Consider the following 20,212-nt stretch of genomic DNA (forward strand, 5'->3'; position numbering starts at 1 on the left):
CCCGAGTAGCTGGGACTACAGGCGCCCACCACCACGCCCGGCTAATTTTTTGTATTTTTTGTAGAGACAGGGTTTCACCGTGTTAGCCAGGATGGTCTCGATCTCCTGACCCTGTGATCCCCCCACCCTGGCCTCCCAAAGTGCTGGGATTACAGGCGTGAGCCACTGTGCCTGGCTCGTCTTCTTTTGAGAAGTGTCTGCTTATGTCCCTTGTCAATGTTTTAATGGGGTTGTTTTCCTAATGTCCAACATCACTAATCATCAGAGAAATGCAAGTCAATGAGAGATACCATCTCATATTAGTCAGAATGGCTACTATTAAAAAGTAAAAAAATGACAAATTCTGGTTAGACTTCAGAGAAAATGAAATGCTTATACACTGTTGGTGAGAATGTAAATTAGTTCAGCCACTGTGAAAAGCAGTTTGGAGATTTTTCAAAGAATTTAAAACAGAAGTGCCATTCAACCAGCAATTCCATTACTGAGTATATATCCAAAAGAAAATTAAGAATTCCACAAAAAAGAAACCCCACATGCACTTGTATATGAGTCATATTCTATTCACAATAGGGAAGGCATGGAATTAACTTATGTGTGAATCAATAAATTGGATAGAAATATGTGCCACATATACGCCATAAAACACTATGCACACATTAAAAAGAATACAATTATGTCCTGTGCAGTAACATGCATACGTCTGGAGGCCATTATCATAAGGAAATTAATACAGGAACAGAAAACCAAATACCATATGTTCTTGCCTATAAGTAGGATCTAAACATGGGGTACTCATGAATATAAAGATGACAACAATAGACACTGAGAACTACCAGGTGAATGAGGGAAGGAGGAGGGCAGAGGGTGAAAAACCATAGGTGCTATGCTTACTGCCTAGGTGATGGGATCAATTATATCCCACAATATATGCTCACTACCTTGGTGATGGGATCAATAATATCCCACATTGCTCAGCATCACACAATATATCCATGTAATAAACCTGCAAATATACTCCCTGAATCTAAAAAATTTAAGGCAGAGACAGAGTAAGAGGGCAGAATAGAAGCCTACATTCTCATCCACCACACGAAAACACCAAATTTTCACAACTAACTACATTCAAGAAGCACTGTCAAAGGGACCAAAAATTGGGTGAGCAATCACAGTACCTGGTATTAACTTCATATCACTGAAACAGACATTGGAGAAGACAAAAAAATAAAAGACGGTTTAGAAGCATGGATGCCACCTCTTTTTCAACCACCACTAGTGGCTACATCGTGCAGAGATAGTATGTTTGGGAGAGGGAGCGCATAGTTTGTGAGGCTTTGCAATAAACTCAGTACTACCCTGTCACAGTGAAAAGCAGAACCAGACTGTACTCAGCTGACATCTGCCAATGGAAGGAGCATGTGTATTGGCCCTAGAAAGAGGAAAACCTCCCATCCTAGTGTTGGGAGCTTGAGTTTTTACAAGTCTTGCCATCATGAGTTGACGTGCTATTGGACTCTAAGAGAACTTAAGGGGCAGTCTAGGCCACAAGGACTTCAATTATTAGGCAAGTCTTATTCCAAGCTGGGCTCAGAGCCAGTGGAATGTGGAGGGTGGGGAGTATGGGGTCTACCAAGACAGCAGCCAGAGCAACTAAGGGAGTGCTCACAACACCACTCCCCCACCCCCCACCTAGCAGCAGCCACACAACACACAGAAACCTGTGAATTTGGGAGAGGGAGAGCACAGTGACTGGAGGACTTTACATCAAACTCAGTGCTGCTATGTCAGTAAAGACCTGGCAGAATTCATCACCTGCTGACTAAAGAACCCCTGTACCCAGAATAAAAAACAGTGACAACCAGGTAATACACCATGGGCATTGGGATCTGAGAAGTGCTAAGTTCAGGTGTGACCCAGTACATTTCTAGCTGTGGTAGCTATGGTGAAAGACTTCTGTTTGAGAAAGGCAGGGGGGAAAGTAAAGGGAACTCTACATTGCACCTGGTATACCAGCTCAACCACAGTGGGGTAGATCACCAAGCAGATTCTTAGAGTCCTTGAGTCCAGGCCTAGGGTCTTCTTGGTCAGCATTTCTGCACTTGCCCTGGGCCAAAGGTCGAGTCCCAGGCATTGCAGAATTTATCACAAGCTAACTAAAGAGTCCTTGGGCTTTAAGTGAGAAAGTGATGATGATTTGGTGGAAACCCCCCATGGGCCAGTAGTGTGGGCAGTCATAGAAGAAGCTCTTCTGCCTGCAGAGAGGGGAAAGAAGAGTAGAAAATACTTTGTCTTATTCCCTAAGTGCCAGGTTAGCTACAATAAAATAGAAGAGCAGCTAAATTTTGAAGATTCTATGCTTTAATCTCTGGCTCCCAGGTAGCATCTGTGGACCCACTCATGGCTAGGGGAACTTTCAACCCTATAGGCAGAGACACAAACCTGGCTGGCATTGCCAACTATTAATCACAGAGTCCTGGGGCTTTGAATAAACTTATATGGTAGCCAAGTAGTGGTTGCAGTGGGCCTTGGGTGAGACCAAGTTCTGTGCCTACTTCAGGTGTGAGCCAGCACAGTCTCAGTGGTGGCTGCCACAGGAGTTCTTCTGTTACCCCAACCCCAGCTCCACATGTCTCAGCACAGAAAGAGAGACTGCTGATTTGAGAGAAAGTAAGGGAAGAGAACAAGAGTCTCTACTTGATAAATCAAGAGAATTTTTCTTGATGTTAATCCAAGGCCACCAAGGCACTACCTCTACGTGTTTGCATAAACTACTGTGCTATTGGGTTTGGGACCCAAGTTTCTTTGAATACCTGGAAAGTGTTCCCAAAGATAATGGGCACTAGCAAGCCCAGACTGTGAAGACTACAATAAAGATTGAATTCTTCAATGCCCAGATACAGATGAATATCTACAAGTATCAAGGCCATCCAGGAAAACATGACCTCACCAAACAAGCTAAATAAAGTACCAGGGACAAATCCTGGAAAAACAAAGATATGTGACCTTTCATACAGGAAATCCAAAATAACTGGTTGAGGTAATTCAAAGAAATGTACAATGTAACACAGAGAAGGAATTCAAAATTCTATCAGATAAATTTAACAATGAGATTGAAATAAAAAGAATAAAGTAGAAATTCTGAGGTTAAAATGCTATTGTCATACTGAAGAATGGATCAGAATTACTTAAAAGAATTGACCATGGAGAAGATAGATTTAGTGAACTTGAAGCCAGACTATTTAAAAATACAAAGTCAGAGGAGACAAAAAGGAATAAAAAATAAAGCATGCCTATAGAATTTTAAAAATAGCCTCAAAATAGCAAATCTAAGAGTTATTGGCCTTAAAGAGGAGGTAGAAAAAGAGATGAGTTGAATATTTATTTAAATAAATAATATTAAATAATATTAAACAATTCCTCAACATTTGATATCAACATTCGGGTAACAGAAAGTTACAGAATATAAAGCAGATTTAACCCAAAGAAGACCACCTCAAGGCACTAAACTGAACTCCCAAAGGTTAAGGATAAAGAAATGATTCTAAAAGCATCGAGAGAAGAGAAACAAATAACATTCAGCGGAACTCCAATACATCTGACAGCAGACTTTTCAGGGGAAAATTTACAGGCTGTGAGATTGGCATGACATATTAAAAAACTGAAGGAAAAAAAGACTTTTACTTTAGAATAATGTATCTGGCAAAAACGTCCTTTAAACTTGACGGAAAAATAAGAACTTTTTCCAACAAACAAAAACTGAGGGATTTCATTAACACCAGACCTGTCCTACAAGAAATGCTTAAGGGATATCTTAATCTAAAAGAAAACAAGTTAGTGAGCAATAAGAAATCATCTGAAGGTACACAACTCACTAGCAATAGCACATGGAAAAACACTGAATATTATAATATGGTAATTATGGGGTGCAAAAATCTCAAATAGAAAGAGTAAACAATAAACCAATAAAAATAATAACTACAATGTATTTATTTCCAATACATAGACTGTAAAATAGGGAATGAAGAGAAACAACAAAAAGTTGAAAAGAATGGCAGTATAGAGTTTTTATTAGTTGTTTTGCTTGTTTCTTTTTTTTATTATACTTTTAAGTTATAGAGTACATGTGCACAACGTGCAGGTTTGTTACATATGTATACACGTGACATGTTGGTGTGCTGCACCCATTAACTAGTCATTTAGCATCAGGTATATCTCCTAATGCTATCCCTCCCCCATCCCCCCACCCCTCAACCGTCCCTGGTGTGTGATGTTCCCCTTCCTGTGTCCACGTGTTCTCATTGTTCAATTCCCACCTATAAGTGAGAACATGCGGGTGTTTGGTTTTTTGTCTTTGTGATAGTTTGCTGAGAATGATGGTTTCCAGCTTCCTGCATGTCCCTGCAAAGGACATGAACTCATCATTTTTTATGGCTGCATAGTATTCCATGGTGTATATGTGCCACATTTTCTTAATCCAGTCTATCATTGTTGGACATTTGTGTTGGTTCCCAGTCTTTGCTATTGTGAATAGTGCTGCAATAAACATACGTGTGCATGTGTCTTTATAGCAGCATGATTTATAGTCCTTTGGGTATATACCCAGTAATGGGATGGCTGGGTCAAACGGTATTTCTAGTTCTAGATCCCTGAGGAATTGCCACACTGACTTCCACAATGGTTGAACTAGTTTACAGTCCTACCAACAGTGTAAAAGTGTTCCTATTTCTCTACATCCTCTCCAGCACATGTTGTTTCCTGACTTTTTAGTGATCGTCATTCTAACTGGTATGAGATGGTATCTCATTGTGGCTTTGATTTGCATTTCTCTGATGGCCAGTGATGATGAACATTTTTTCATGTGTCTTTTGGCTGCATAAATGTCTTCTTTTGAGCAGTGTCTGTTCATATCCTTCACCCAGTTTTTGATGGGGTTGTTTGGGTTTTTCTTGTAAATTTGTTTGGGTTCATTGCAGACTCTGGATATTAGCCCTTTGTCAGATGAGTAGATTGGAAAATTTTTCCCCCATTCTGTAGGTTGCCTATTCACTCTGATGGTAGTTTCTTTTGCTGTGCAGAAGCTCTTTAGTTTAATTAGATCCCATTTGTCAATTTTGGCTTTTGTTGCCATTGCTTTTGGTGTTTTAGACACGAAGTCCTTGCCGATGCCTATGTCCTGAATGGTATTGCCTAGGTTTTCTTCTAGGGTTTTTATGGTTTTAGATCTAACATTTAAGTCTTTAATCCATCTTGAATTAATTTGTGTATAAGGTGTAAGGAAGCGATCCAGTTTCAGCTTTCTACATATGGCTAGCCAGTTTTCCCAGCATCATTTATTATGTAGGGAATCCTTTCCCCATTTTTTGTTTTTGTCAGGTTTGTCAAAGATCAGATAGTTGTAGATATGCAGCATTATTTCTGAGGGCTCTGTTCTGTTCCATTGGTCTACATCTCTGTTTTGGTACCAGTACCATGCTGTTTTGGTTACTGTAGCCTTGTAGTATAGTTTGAAGTCAGGTAGCATGATGCCTCCAGCTTTGTTCTTTTGGCTTACGATCGACTTGGCAATGTGGGCCCTTTTTTGTTCCATATGAACTTTAAAGTAGTTTTTTTCCAATTCTGTGAAGAAAGTCATTGGTAGCTTGATGGGGATGACATTGAATCTATCAATTACCTTGGGCAGTATGGCCATTTTCATGATATTGATTCTTCCTACCCATGAGCATGGAATGTTCTTCCATTTGTTTGTATCCTCTTTTATTTCATTGAGCAGTGATTTGTAGTTCTCCTTGAAGAGGTCCTTCACATCCCTTGTAAGTTGGATTCCTAGGTATTTTATTCTCTCTGAAGCAATTGTGAATGGGAATTCACTCATGATTTGGCTGTGTGCCTGTTGTTGGTGTACAAGAATGCTTGTGATTTTTGTACATTGATTTTGTATCCTGAGACATTGCTGAAGTTGCTTATCAGCTTAAGGAGATTTTGGGCTGAGACGATGGGGTTTTCTAGATATACAATCATGTCATCTGCAAATAGGGACAATTTGACTTCTTCTTTCCCTAACTGAATACCCTTTATTATGACCACTATGAAGGAGTTTATGACCGCTAGGTTTGTTCTTCAAGAAATGCTAGAAAGTCCTTTGAGATTAAAAAATGAGAGTACCAAAAAAGCCATAGAATACTATAAAGCTCTGTTGTAAAGCAAATATATAGAGAAATATAGCATCCTGTATTATTGTGATGTTGGTAAGTAATTTCAATCCCCTTATAGTATTTGACACCAATATACAAAAATATTTTATATGTATGTTAAAGAATACATCATGTAAAAAGGCCTAATTTGTGACATCAAGAACAACATGAGTGTTGGGAAAGACAGTCATGTAAAAGACTGGAGTTTTTATATGCTACTGAGATAACATCAGATTAAACTAGATTGTTATAACTTTGAGACGTTTCATGTCACCTGTATAGTAATCACAAAGATAATACATGTAGAATGTATACAAAAGAAAAAGAAATAAAAACATATTAGTACAAAAATTAGACAAAAAGGAATACAGCAAGAAATAAAATAAATAAACAAAAGAACTACAAAAGAAACACAATACTATTAACAAAATGGCAGTAGTAACTCCTTAACTGCAAATAATAACCTTATATGTAACAATGTTAAATTCTCCAATAACAGACAGAAGGTCACTGAAGAAATAAAAATATAAAATCGAATGAATTCTGTTTATAAATTGTTTATAAAAATAAAAATATAAAATCAAATAAATTATGTTTATTTAAGGATAAACATGGAATGAAAGTGCAGGGATGGAAAATTATATTCTATATGGTAACCAAATCATCCTAAATAGCAACCAAAATAGAACAAAGTGGGTCACATTTACATTAGATGATTAGACTTTAAGCAAAAAACTGTCATAAAGACAAACAAGGACATTATATAATAAAAATAAATCTCCAAGAAGATACCATAATTAAAATATGCACATGAATCAGCAACTATTCCAAACACATAACACAAATAATGACAGAATTAAAAGGAGAAATAGGCTGAGTACAGTGGCTCACGCCTGCTTGTAATCCCTGCATCTTGGCGGGGGCAGAGGCAGGAGGATGGCTTGAGCCCAGGATTTGAGACTAACCTGGGCAAGATAGCAACACTTCGTCTGCGTAAGAAACAAAATTATAAATAAAAATAAAGGGAGGAATAGAGACCACCACCAAAATGATAGGAGACTTTAATAATGGAGAGGACAACCTGGGAGACCAAATGAAGACAGAGGATTGAGCAAGGAGTGATTCCACCAAATCCAACAGACTTTTAGAAACGGTCTTCTCAACAACAGAATGCGCATGATTCTGGTGTGCACATGGAACATTCTTGAGACTATATCACAAATCGGACCACAAAGAAATCAATTCAAGAAAATTAAAATCATACGAAGTATCATTTACAACTAAAATGGAATGGAACTAGAAGTGAATACCAGAAGAAAAATTTAAAAATTTGCAAATACATAAAAATCAAGTAACATGCTCCTAAACAACATTATGGGTTAAAGAAGAAATCACAGTGAAAATTTCAACATAACTGGAGACAAAGCATAACAAAATTATTGAATGCATCTAAAGCTTGTATTCAATTGTAGTAGTAAATGTGTACATTTAAAAAATCTATCTAAATCAACTAGTAAATGTAATCAAACATCAGTAAAGAATAAGAATTTCAGCAGTTATAAATAAATAACAATTAAAAGCCATAGAAAAATCAATTAAAGTTTGGTTTTATTGAAAAGATTAAGAAAACCGACAAACAGATTAAAAGAAAAAAGAAGATACCTCAAATAATTAAATTCATAAATAAAAGAGGAGCTATTACTACTGATGCCACAAAAGTAGGAAAAGAAGAGATTATAAAAGTTTAATTCCAAGTATATGCCAAAAAATATGATAAGCTAAGAGAAATAGACAAATGTCTAGAAATACAGATTATACTAAAAATAAACCATAAAAAAATCTGAATAGGCATATAAGTAGTAACAACAACCTCCCCTCAAAAAGCCCAGGCCCGGATCACTTCATTAAATACATATTTTTTTCAAAATGTTAAAGCAGGGTTAACACCAACCCTTCTTAAACTACTTCAGAAAAATGAAAAAGATAAAACAATTTCCAACTTATTTTATGAGCCCAGCATTAACACAACACCAAACCCCACAAAGACACTAAGGAGAAAAAAAAATACAACTACAAATCAATTTTCCTGTTGACTATTGATGTAAAAATTCTCCTCGGAACATTAGAACACCAAATTCAATAACATATTGCAAGGATTATACACCATGACGAAGAAGGAGTTATCTCTCCAATGAAAGTATTGTTCAACACGTGTAAATCAATCTATTTGTTTTTTATTTTTTTATTATACTTTAAGTTCTAGGGTACATGTGGACAACATGCAGGTTTGTTACATAGGTTTACATGTGCCATGTTGTTTTGCTGCACCTATCAACTCATCATTTACATTAGATATTTCTCCTACTGCTATCTCTCCTCTAGCCCTCCAGCCCCTGACAGGCCCCATTGTGTGATGTTACCTGCCTTGTGTCCAAGTGTTCTCATTGGTAAATTCCCACCTATGAGTGAGAACATGTGGTGTTTGGTTATCTGTCCTTGTGATAGTTTGCTGAAAATGATGGTTTCTGGCTTCATCCAAGTCCCCGCAAAGGACAAAAACTCATCTGTTTTTATGGCTGTGTACTATTCCATGGTGTATATGTGCTGCATTTTCTTAATCAGTTCTATCATTGATGGACATTTGGGTTGGTTCCAAGTCTTTGCTATTGTGAATAGTGCTGCAATAAACATACATGTGCTTGTGTCTTTATAGTGGCATGATTTATAATCCTTTGGGTATATGCCCAGTAATGGGATTGCTGGGTCAGATGGTATTTCTAGTTCTAGATCCTGGAGGAATGGCCACACTGTCTTCCACAGTGGTGGAACTAATTTGCAATCCCTCCAACAGTGTAAAAGCCTTCCTATTTTTCCACATGCTTTCCAGCATCTGTTGTTTCCTGACTTTCAAATAATCACCATTCTAACTGGCGTGAGATTGTATCTCACTGTGGTTTTGATTTGCATTTCTCTGATGACCATTGATGATGAGCATTTTCTCATGTGTCTGTTGGCTGCATAGATGTCTTCTTTTGAGAAGTGTCTGTCCATATCCTTTGCCCAATTTTTGATGGTGTTTTTTTCTTGTAAATTTGTTTAAGTTTTTTGTAGATTCTGGATACTAGCCCTTTGTCAGATGGATAGATTGCCAACAATTTTCTCCCATTCTGTAGGTTGTCTGTTCATGCTGTTGGTAGTTTCTCTTACTGTGCAGAAGCGCTTTAGTTTAATTAGATCTGATTTGTCTATTCTGGCTTTTGTTGCCATTGTTTTTGGTATTTTAGTCATGAAATCTTTGCCCATGCCTATGACCTGAATGATGTAGCCTAGGATTTCTTCTAGGGTTTTTATGGTTTTAGGCCTAACATTTAAGCCTTTAATCCCTGTTGAATTAATTTGTGTATAAGGTGTAAGGAAGGGATCCAGTTTCAGCTTTCTACCTATGACTAGCTAGTTTTCCCAGCACCATTTATTAAATAGGGAATCCTTTCTCCATTGCTTGTTTTTGTCAGGTTTTTCAAAGATCAGATGGTTGTAGATGTGTGGTGTTATTTCTGAGGCCTCTGTTCTGTTCCATTGGTCTATAGATCTGTTTTGATATCGGTACCATGCTGTTTGGTTACTGTAGCCTTGTAGTATAGATTGAAGTCAAATAGTGTGATGCCTCCAGCTTTGTTCTTTTTGCTTAGATTGTCTTGGCGATATGGGCTCTTTTTTGGTTCCATATGAACTTTAAAGTAGTATTTTCTAATTCTGTGAAGAAAGTCATTCGTAGCTTGATGGGGATGGCATTGTATCTGTAAATTACCTAGGGCAGTATGACCATTTTCACAATATTGGTTATTCCTATCCATGAGCATGGAATGTTCTTCCATTTGTTTGTGTCCTCTTTTATTTTGTTGAGCAGTGATTTGTAGTTTTCCTTGAAGAGGTCGTTCACATCCCTTGTAAGATGTATTCCAAGGTATTTTATTCTCTTTGTAGCAATTGTCAATGGGAGCTCACTCATGATTTGGCTCTCTGTTTGTCTGTTATTGGTGTATAGAAATTCTTGTGATTTTTGCATATTGATTTCTTATCCTGAGACTTTGCTAAAGTTCTTATCAGCTTAAGGAGATTTTGGGCTGAGACGATGGGGTTTTCTAAATATACAATCATGTCATCTGCAAACAGAGATAATTTGACTTCCTAATTGAATACCTTTGTTTCTTTCTCTTGCCTGATTGCCCTGGCTGTGGGTTTGTCATAAATAGCTGTTATTATTTTGAGATACATTTCATCAATATGTAGTTTATTGAGAGTTTTTAGCAGGAAAGACTGTTGAATTTTGTCAAAGGCCTTTTCTATATCTATGGAGACAGTCATGTGGTTTTTGTCATTGATTCTGTTTATATGATGGATTACATTTATTAATTTGTGTATGTTGTACCAGCCTTGCATTCCAGGGATGAAGACTACTTGATCGTGGTGGATAAGCTTTTTGATATGCTGCTGGATTCCATTTGCCAGTATTTTATTGAGGATTTTCACATCGATGTTCATCAAGGATATTGGTCTAAAATTCTCTTTTTTTTTGTTTTGTCTCTGCCAGGGTTTGGTATCAGGATGATACTGGTCCCATAAAATGAATTAGGGAGGATTTCCTCTTTTTCTATTGATTGGAATAGTTTCAGAAGGAATGGTACCAGCTCCTTTTTGTACCTCTGGTAGGATTCAGCTGTGAATCCATCTGGTCCTGGATATTTTTTTGTTGGTATGCTATTAATTATTGCCTCAATTTTCAGATCCTGTTATTGGTCTATTCAGAGATTCAACTTCTTCCTGGTTTAATCTTGGGAGGGTGTATGTGTCCAGGAATTTATCCATTTCTTCTAGATTTTCTAGTTTATTTGTGTAGAGGAGTTTATAGTATTCTCTGATGGTAGTTTGTATTTCTGTGGGATCAGTGATGATATACCATTTATCTTTTTTTATTGTGTCTATTTGATTCTTGTCTTTTTTCTTCTTTATTAGTCTTGCTAGTGGTCTATCAATTTTGTTGATCTTTCAAAAAATCAGCTCCTAAATTCATTGATTTTTTAAGGGTTTGTTGTGTCTCTATCTCCTTTAGTTCTGCTCTGATCTTTCTTGCCTTTTGCTTGTTTTTGAATTTGTTTGCTCCTGTTTCTCTAGTTCTTTTAATTGTGATGTGGGGCTGTCAATTTTAGATCTTTCCTGCTTTCTCTTGTGGGCATTTAGTGCTATAAATTTCCCTCTGCACACTGCTTTAGATGTGTCCCAGAGATTCTGGTGTTTTTTGTCTTTGTTCTCACTGGTTTCAAAGAACATCTTTATTTTTGCCTTCATTTCGTTATTTGCCCAGTAGCCATTCAGAAGCAGGTTGTTCTGTTTCCATGTGTTTGGGCCATTTTGAGTGAGTTTCTTAATTCTAAGTTCTAATTTGATTGCACTGTGATCTGAGAGACAGTTTGTTGTGATGTCTGTTCTTTTACATTTGATGAGGAGTGCTTACTTCCAATTATGTGATCAATTTTAGAATAACTGCGATGTGGTGCTGAGAAGAATGTTTATTCTGGTGATACGGGGTGGAGAATTCTGTAAATTTCTATTAGGTCCACTTGGTGCAGAGCTGAGTTCAAGTTCTGGATATCCTTGTTAACCTTCTGTCTTGTTGATCTGTCTAATATTGACAGTGGAGTGTTAAAGTCTCCCATTATTATTGTGTGGGAGTCTAAGTCTGTTTGTAGGTATCTAAGGACTTACTTTACGAATCTGGGTGCTCCTGTATTGAGTGCATATATATTTAGGGTAGTTAGCGCTTCTTGCTGAATTGATCCTTTTACCATTATGTAATGGCCTTCTTTGTGTCTTTTGATCTTTGTTGGTTTAAATTCTGTTTTATCAGAGACTAGGATTGCAACCCCTGCTTTTTTTTAATTTTTAATTTTTTTGCTTTCCATTTTCTTGGTAGATCTTCCTCCATCCCTTTATTTTGAGCCTATGTGTGTCTCTGCATGTGAGATGGGTCTCCTGAATACAGCACACTGATGGGTCTTGACTCTTTATCCAATTTGACAGTCTATGTCTTTTTATTGAGTCATTTAGCCCATTTACATTTAAGGTCAATACTGTTATGTGTGAATTTGATCCTGTCATTGTTATGTTAGCTCACTGTTTTTCCTGTTAATTGATGCAGCTTCTTCATAGTATCGATGGTCTTTACAATTTGGCATATTTTTTGCAGTGGCTGGTACTGGTAGTTCCTTTCCACGCTTAGTGCTTCCTTCAGGAGCTCTTTTAAGGCAGGCCAGGAGGTCTCAAAATCTCTCAGCATTTGCTTGTCTGTAAAGGATTTTACTTCTCCCTCACTTATGAAGCTTAGTTTAGCTGGATATGAAATTCTGGGCTGAAAATTCTTATCTTTAAGAATGTTGAATATTGACCCCCACTCTCTTCTGGCTTCTAGGGTTTCTGCTGAGAGATCTGCTATTAGTCTGATGGGTTTCCCCTTGTGGGTAACCCGACCTTTCTCTCTGGCTGCCCTTAACATTTTTTCCTTCATTTCAACCCTGGTGAATCTGACAATTAGTATCTTGGGGTTGCTCTTATCCAGAAGTAACTTTGTGGTGTTGTCTGTATTTCCTGAATTTGAATGCTGGCCTGCCTTGCTACATTGGGAAAATTCTCCTGAATAACATCCTAAGGAGTGTTTTCCAACTTGGTTCCATTCTCTCTGTCACATTTAGGTACACCAAGCAAACATAGATTTGGTCTTTTCACATAGTCCCATTTTTCCTGGAGGCTTTGTTCATTTCTTTTCACTCTTTTTACTCTAAACTTGTCTTCTCACTTTATTTTATTAATTTGATCTTCGATCACTGATATCCTTTCTTCCACTGGATTGAATCAGCTATTGAAGCTTGTGCATGTGTCACAGAGTTCTTGTGCCATGGTTATCAGCTCCATAAGGTCATTTAAGGTATTCTCTACACTGTTTATTCTAGTTAGCCATTGTCTGACCTTTTTTCAAGGTTTTTAGCTTCCTTGCGATGTGTTCAAACATGCTCTTTTAGCTTGGAGAAGTTTGTTATTACCAGCCTTCTGAAGCCTCCTTCTGTCAACTCATCAAAGTCACTCTCCCTCCAGCTTTGTTCCATTGCTGGTGAGGAGCTGCAATCCTTTGGAAGAAAAGAGATGCTCTGGTTTGTAGGATTTTCAGCTTTTCTGTTCTGGTTTCTTCCCATCTTTGTGGTTTTATCTATCTTTGGTATTTGATGTTGGTAACCTACAGATGGGGTTTTGGTGTGGATGTCCTTTTTGTTTATGTTGATGCTATTCCTTTCTGTTTGTTAGTTTTCCTTCTAACAGTCAGGTCCCTCAGCTGCAGGTCTGTTGGAGTTTGCTGGAGGTCCACTCCAGACCCTGTTTGCCTGGGTATCAACAGAGAAGGCTGCAGAACAGCAAATATTGCTGCTTGATCCTTCCCTGGAAGCTTCGTTGAAGAGGGTCTCCTACCTGTATGAGGTGTCTGTTGGCCCGTACTATGAGATGTCTCCCAGTTAGGCTACACGGGGTTCAGGGACCCATTTGAGGAGGCAGTATGTCCATTCTCAGAGCACAAACACCATGCCAGGAGAACCACTGCTCTCTTCAGAGCTGTCAGATGGGAGGTTTAAGTCTGCAGAAGTTTCTGCTGCCTTTTATTCAGCTGTGCCCTGCCCGCAGAGGTGGAGTTTATAAAGGCAGTAGGCCTTGCTGAGCTGTGAGTGGCTCTACCCTGTTCAAGCTTCCTGGCCACTTTGTTTACCTACTGAAACCTCAAAAATTGTGGATTCACCTCCACCTGCTCAGCTGCAGCATGAAGGTTAATCTCAGACTGCTGCACTGGCAGTAAGCAAGGCCCTATGGGTGTGGGACCCAATGAATCAGGCACAGGAGAGAATCTCCTGGTCTGCCAGTTGCTAAGACTGTGCAAAAAGTGCAGTATTTGGGCAAGAGTGTCCTGTTTTTCCAGGTACAGTCTGTCATGCCTTCCCTTGGCTAGGAAAGGAAAATCCCCAAACCCCTTGCACTTCCTGGGTGAGTTGATGCCCTGCCCTGCTTCAGCTCACCCTCCATGGGATGAACTCACTGTCCAATCAGTCCCAATGAGATGAATCAGGTAGCTCAGTTGGAAACGCAGAAATCACCCATCTTGCATTGATCACACTGGGAGCTGCAGACCAGAGCTCTTCCTATTTGGCTATATTGGAATGAGAGTTTAAATCAATCAGTTTAATATATCACATTAACAGAGAAAAAGATGTAAACCACACAATCATCTCAAATAATGCAGAAAAGTCAACTGACAGTATTAATCATCTTTTCAAGATAAAAAAACACTCAATAAAGTAGAAATAAAAGGAAACTAACATAGCAAAAGATATGTAAATAACTCATCACCAACTGTGTTCAACAGCTCATGCCTATAGTCCCAGCAGTTTGGGTGGCTGAGGTGGGTGGATGATTTTAGGTCAGGAGTTCCAGACCAGCCTGACCAACATGGTGAATCCCTGTCTCTACAAAAAATATTAACATTAGCTTGACTTTGTGGTATGTGCCTGTAGTCCCAGCTACCAGGGAGGCTGAGGCATGAGAATAGCTTGAACTCGGGAGGTGGAGGTTGCAGTGAGCCCAGATCATGCCACTGCACTCCAGCCTGGTTGACAGAGCAAGATCCTATCTCAGAAAAACAAAAACAACAACAAAAACAAAAAAACAAAAACAATCATCACTAATATTACACTGAATTCTGAAGTGTGGAAAGTTTATCCTCTAAGGTTAAGAATAAGGCAAGATATTCACTGTTGTCACATCTATTCAAAAATATCAGTGAAAGTCCTGGCAAAACAACTAGGCAATGAAAAAAAGAAAAGATCCACATTCTAAAGGAAGAAGTAAAATTACCTGTTACTTATGATATGATGTTATATACAAAAAATCCTATATGCTGAAAACAATACCTGTTAGAACTAATAGTTGCATTTAGCAAAATTGCAGAATACAAAATTAAGTGTATTTCTCTTCATTACATGGTACAATCCAAGTTTTTAAAATTCCATTGAAAATAGCATTAAGAAGAATATACTTTGGAATAAACAAGCAAAGAGATGTAAGACTAGTATACTAGAAGTTACAAGATGTTGCTGAAGAAAAGTCACAAACAATGGGGAAGATATTCTATATTTGTAGATTAGACAATTGAAAAGATATCCCATATTCATAAATTAGAAAACAATATTCTTAAGTCTATACTAATGAAATCAACAACAGATTAAATGCAATAGCTATATAAATCATAACAATATTTACTTGCAGAAATACAAAATTCTAAAACATATGAAATCTCAAGATTGAAAATAGCCAATTAAACTTGTAAAATAATGTCAATTGTGGAACCCTCACAATTTTTAAATCAAAAACTAATTGCAGTGCTGTTGAACTCTTTTCAAATGTGGTATTTTGAGGCCAGGTTCTATGGCTTACACGTGTAACCTCAGCACTTTGTGAGGCTGAGGTAGGAGGATTGCTTGAACCCAGGAGTTCAAACCACACTGGACATCCTAGTGAGAACACCCATCGCTAAAAAAACAATTAAAATTAAAATTAACCTGGCAATGTGACATGAACCTGTAGTCTCAGCTATTCCAGAGGCTGAAGTGAGAGGATTTTTTAAGCCTGGGAGAGCAAGTCTGCAGTGAGCCATGGTCGCACCAGTGCACCCCAGCCTGGATGACAGAGAACCTGTCTCAAAAAGTAAAAAGGAGAAAATCTAAAAAGAAATGTATTAAATCAAGACGTGTAGACATAGAAAATAATAGAGACCCCTCTCTCCACAAAACCTTGTATATATGGTCAAAATGATCTTCAACAAGGGTGCAAAGGCCAAACTATGGAGAGGGAATAATAGCCCCCTTTAACACAAAAAAGGTATGAAGATTTGCTATCAACATGTAAAATATAGAAGTCAGAATTGTAGTTTATACTATATTTTTTTAAAAACTCAAAATGTGTAAGTCTGAAAGTCTTACACAAAAATATAAGGGAAAAATATCCAAAATTATGCCATGGAATTTGGCAATGGGTTCTTGACTGCCAGCAGCCCCACATCCCTGGAGCATCCATCCGCTCACCGCTGCCTGGTGCTGGGTCCTTCCACACCTGTCACACTGCTTTGTGCGGGGCTCTGAGGGGCACGAGCCAGGACACCAGGCCGAGCACAGGGCACAGGCCGGGCGTTCTCCGGCTATTCGAGGGCAGGCTGTCCCCATGACAGCCTCAGGCGCAGGAGGGAGGACGGCCTGATTCGAGTCTGTGGAAGGAGGAAGAAGCTCATTTCCTGAGCCAGCAGGGACACAGAGGTGGATGCGGGACACAGGGACACAGGGGTGGATGCCATAAAAATATATGGCATATATTTTGAAACATGGCCGCAATTTGAATAATTAGAGTGTTATGCTGAAACTGCACCAAAATTTATCATTCCAGTGACTACATGGAATTTTTAATAGTTGTTATTTTTATAATAAAATTAAACTTTAATTAAATAACTGACTTTCAAACTTCAGCAAGAGGACAAATATTCAGCCAGAGTTATCAGTTCCCGGTTTCTGCTTCGGGTCCTCTCTGGTCTCCCACAGCCCCTCCTGCATCACCCAGGTCTAAGGGGCCACCTGGCCTGGCCTGTGTTCCCTCGTCCCTCCCCTTCCCCACCCAGATCCTGCAGCGCCTTCCTGGGGCAGGGGCGGCGAACCGTCCAGAGCGGGAGGCTCCATCGCCCAGGGCAGCACCGCTCCGCCCCTCTCCACACCTGCCCAGCCCCTGGCAAGGGAGTCGCCTGGGCCTGGCCCGCTGCCCGCCCCCCAATACCTGCCCTGTGCCTGCAACGGCGACGCTGCCAACAAGAGGTGCCAGAGACCGCGGCGCAACCCGCCCGGAGAGCAGGGTCCCACTCACCTGGGAGCGGGGGCACGTCCCTTCCGGTAGGCGATGAGTTAAGATTGTTTCCTTTTATTTATTTTACTTAAAACTGGTAGAATGTCACTATTATATGAAGTACCCATGACTCTCTCAGTAAATTTGAGCAAACGTTTATTAGTTTTTGTCAGTTTAACTAGTTCTTTTGTGTCTATTATTAAGGTGAAATTTAACTTCTATCTGAAATCAGTAAGATACAGAGAGATTTTAATGACAAGTGAATATTTTTTCCTCAGGGGGAACTGAATTATGAATTGAATGAATGAATTATGAATTAAATGAATGAATTCATTAGCAAGGTAGAGAGGACACTAACCAATCGGTAGTTTTAATCAATCTGTATTCCCTCCCCCCTCCCTCTTTGTTTTTTGTTTGTTTGTTTGTTTTTGAGACAGAGTTTTGCTCCGTCGCCCAGGCTGGAGTGATGTGGCGCGATCTTGGCTCACTACAACCTCCGCCCCCCGGGTTCAAGCGACTCTCCGCCTCAGACCCCGGAGTAGCTGGGATTACAGGCGCCAGCCACCATGCCCAGTTAATTTTTGTGTTTTCATTAGAGGCGGGGTTTCACCACGTTGGCCAGGGTGGTCTCAAACTCCTGACCTCCGGTGATCCGCTCACCTTGGCCTCTCAAAGTGTTGGGATTATAGGCGTGAGCCACCAGTCCCGGCCCCTCCCACCCCTCTGTATTATGACCATGTGTACCCAGCATTTAGCTCCCACTTATGAAAGAGAACATGCGGTATTTTGTTTTTTGCTTTTGCATTAGTTTTCTGGAAAGAATGCATTCATGTTGCTTCAAATGGCATAATTTTGAGTTTTTTCTGGCTGTATAGTATTCCATGAGTCTTTATCCAATCCACCACTGATGGATGTCTGGATTAAGCCTATGTCTTTGTGATTGTGAATACTGCTGTGATAAAAATATAGCTACATGTGTCTTTTTGATAGGGTATTTATTTTCTTTCGGGTATATACCCAGTAATGGGGTTACTGGATTGAATGGTAGATCAACTCTCAGTTCTTTAAGAAATCCCCAACCTGCTTTCCACAGTGGCTGAACTAATTTACATTCCTTCAGAAAGTGTATAAGTGTTCTCTATTCTCTAAATCTTCACCGATATGTGTTTTTCTTTTGACTTTTCAAAAAAAGCCATTCTGACCGGTGTGAAATGGTATTTCATTTCAGTTTTGATTTGCATTTCTCTAATAAATAATGACGATGAGCACTTTTACATATGTTTGTTGGGTGCTTGTGTGTATGTCTTCTTTTGAAAAGTGTCCGTTCATGTCCTGTTGCCCACTTTTTAATGGAGTTACTTGCTGCTTGCTTGTTGATTTGTTTAAGTTCCTTATAGGTTCTGCATAATAGACCTCTGTTAGATGCGTAGTTTGTGAATATTTTCTTTCATTCTGTGGGTTATCTCTTTACTACCTTGATAGTTTCTCTTGTTGTGCAAAAGTTTTTCAGTTTAATTAAATCCCACTTGTCATTTTTTGTTTTAGTTGCAATTGCTTTTGAGGACTTAGCCATAAATTATTTGCCAAGGCCGTTATCAAGAAAAGTATTTCCTAGGTTTTTTTCTAGGCGTTTTATAGCTTGAGATTTTTTCATTTAACTCTTTAATCCATCTTAAGCTAATTTTTGTATTTGGTGAAATATGGGGGTCTAGTTTTATTCTTCTGCATATGACTAGCCAGTTATCCCCGCATTATTTATTAAATAAAGTCTTTTTCCCATTGCTTACTTTTGTCAACTTTGTTAAAGATGTGATGGTTGCAGGCATGTGGCCTTAGTTTCTAGTACTCTAGTCTGTTCCATTGGTCTATGTGTCTGTTTTTCTACCAGTACCATGTTGTTTTGATTACTATAGTCTTCTAGTATAGTTTGAAGTCATGTAATATGATGTCTCTAGCCTATGTCTCTAGCCTTAGTATTGCTTTGGCTTGGCTAGCCTACGTCTCTAGCCTTAGTATTGCTTTGGCTTGGCTATTCAGACTCCTTTTAGGTTCCATATAAATTTTAGATGTTTTCTATTTTGTGCAAAATGACATTAGTAATTTGATAGGAAAAGCATTGAATCTGTAAATCGCTTTGAGCAGTATACTCATCTGCACGCAGATGATACTCCAGTGTATGTTCTGTGGTTGATGAATGAAGTGTATTGTAATTCCAAATGGTCAAGCCAGACCCTGCCCCCGCCCGGCTCCTCCTCTGCCAGAGCTGGATACCTCTAGCCAGGGGGCCTCTAGAGCCACTGGGGATGGGGCTGAGGGCCGCTTCCCGCCCCCGTGCAGCTGCTGCAGGGCAGACCGCCTGGCTTGGCCGCAGCCACAGGGACATCTGGCCCTGCTTCCGAGATGTGGGGAGTGTGGGCAGGCTCAGGAGTTGCCTGGAGGCTGCTGCCTGCACACAGAAGGCGGCTGCAGCTTGGGAGCCCAGGCGGGCTGGAGGGGCATGGCCTGGTCGGCCTCGGGATCGCCAGCGCGCCCAGCCTGAGGGCCCCCAGGCCGTGCCTCCCACCCACTCCTCCACCTGAGAGAGATCGGGGCCGCTGTCATGGGCACTCGGCAGTCACCCCGTGTGGGGTTGAGCGGCGGGTTTTCAGTTCTCGCCCCTGTGCAGCCGCCACCGCCGGGCAGAATGCCTGGCTTGGCCACAGCCACAGGGACACCTGGCCCTGGTTCTGCGAGACTGGGAGCGCAAGCAGGCTCAAGGGTTGCCAGGCAGCTGCTGCCTGCACACAGAGGGCGACTGCAGCTTGTGCACCCAGGCGGCGGAGCATGGTCTGGGTGGCCTCTGGAATGCGTGTGCACCAGGCCTGAGGGCCTCCCTGGTGGTGCCACCTGCCCCAGTCTTCCTCTGCTGGAGCCTGGAGCAGCTGGAATGGCCACTCTGCAGTCACAGGGGATAGAGTTAAGTTTTCTTATCCCACACATGCACACAAAAAGGTAACTATTCTGTGAGGTAATTAACATGTTCATTGACTTCGTTTTGGTAATCATTTCAG

General features: G+C 39.8%; 4 annotated features.

Moving 5' to 3' along the window:
- Positions 911 to 1,433: an enhancer, noted in NCBI's record as "OCT4-NANOG hESC enhancer chr9:66470759-66471281 (GRCh37/hg19 assembly coordinates)". NCBI's record gives its function as "activates a minimal SCP1, AML or CMV promoter by ChIP-STARR-seq in primed H9 embryonic stem cells {active_cell/tissue: H9 hESC(primed)}" and the evidence as "EXISTENCE:reporter gene assay evidence [ECO:0000049][PMID:30033119]".
- Positions 8,783 to 9,342: an enhancer, noted in NCBI's record as "OCT4-NANOG hESC enhancer chr9:66478631-66479190 (GRCh37/hg19 assembly coordinates)". NCBI's record gives its function as "activates a minimal SCP1, AML or CMV promoter by ChIP-STARR-seq in primed H9 embryonic stem cells {active_cell/tissue: H9 hESC(primed)}" and the evidence as "EXISTENCE:reporter gene assay evidence [ECO:0000049][PMID:30033119]".
- Positions 16,779 to 17,630: an enhancer, noted in NCBI's record as "H3K27ac-H3K4me1 hESC enhancer chr9:66486627-66487478 (GRCh37/hg19 assembly coordinates)". NCBI's record gives its function as "activates a minimal SCP1, AML or CMV promoter by ChIP-STARR-seq in naive H9 embryonic stem cells {active_cell/tissue: H9 hESC(naive)}" and the evidence as "EXISTENCE:reporter gene assay evidence [ECO:0000049][PMID:30033119]".
- Positions 19,242 to 19,771: an enhancer, noted in NCBI's record as "H3K27ac-H3K4me1 hESC enhancer chr9:66489090-66489619 (GRCh37/hg19 assembly coordinates)". NCBI's record gives its function as "activates a minimal SCP1, AML or CMV promoter by ChIP-STARR-seq in primed H9 embryonic stem cells {active_cell/tissue: H9 hESC(primed)}" and the evidence as "EXISTENCE:reporter gene assay evidence [ECO:0000049][PMID:30033119]".

The sequence above is a fragment of the Homo sapiens genome, chromosome 9 (genome assembly GCF_000001405.40).
Source record: "Homo sapiens chromosome 9, GRCh38.p14 Primary Assembly".
Classification (NCBI taxonomy): Eukaryota; Metazoa; Chordata; class Mammalia; order Primates; family Hominidae; genus Homo; species Homo sapiens.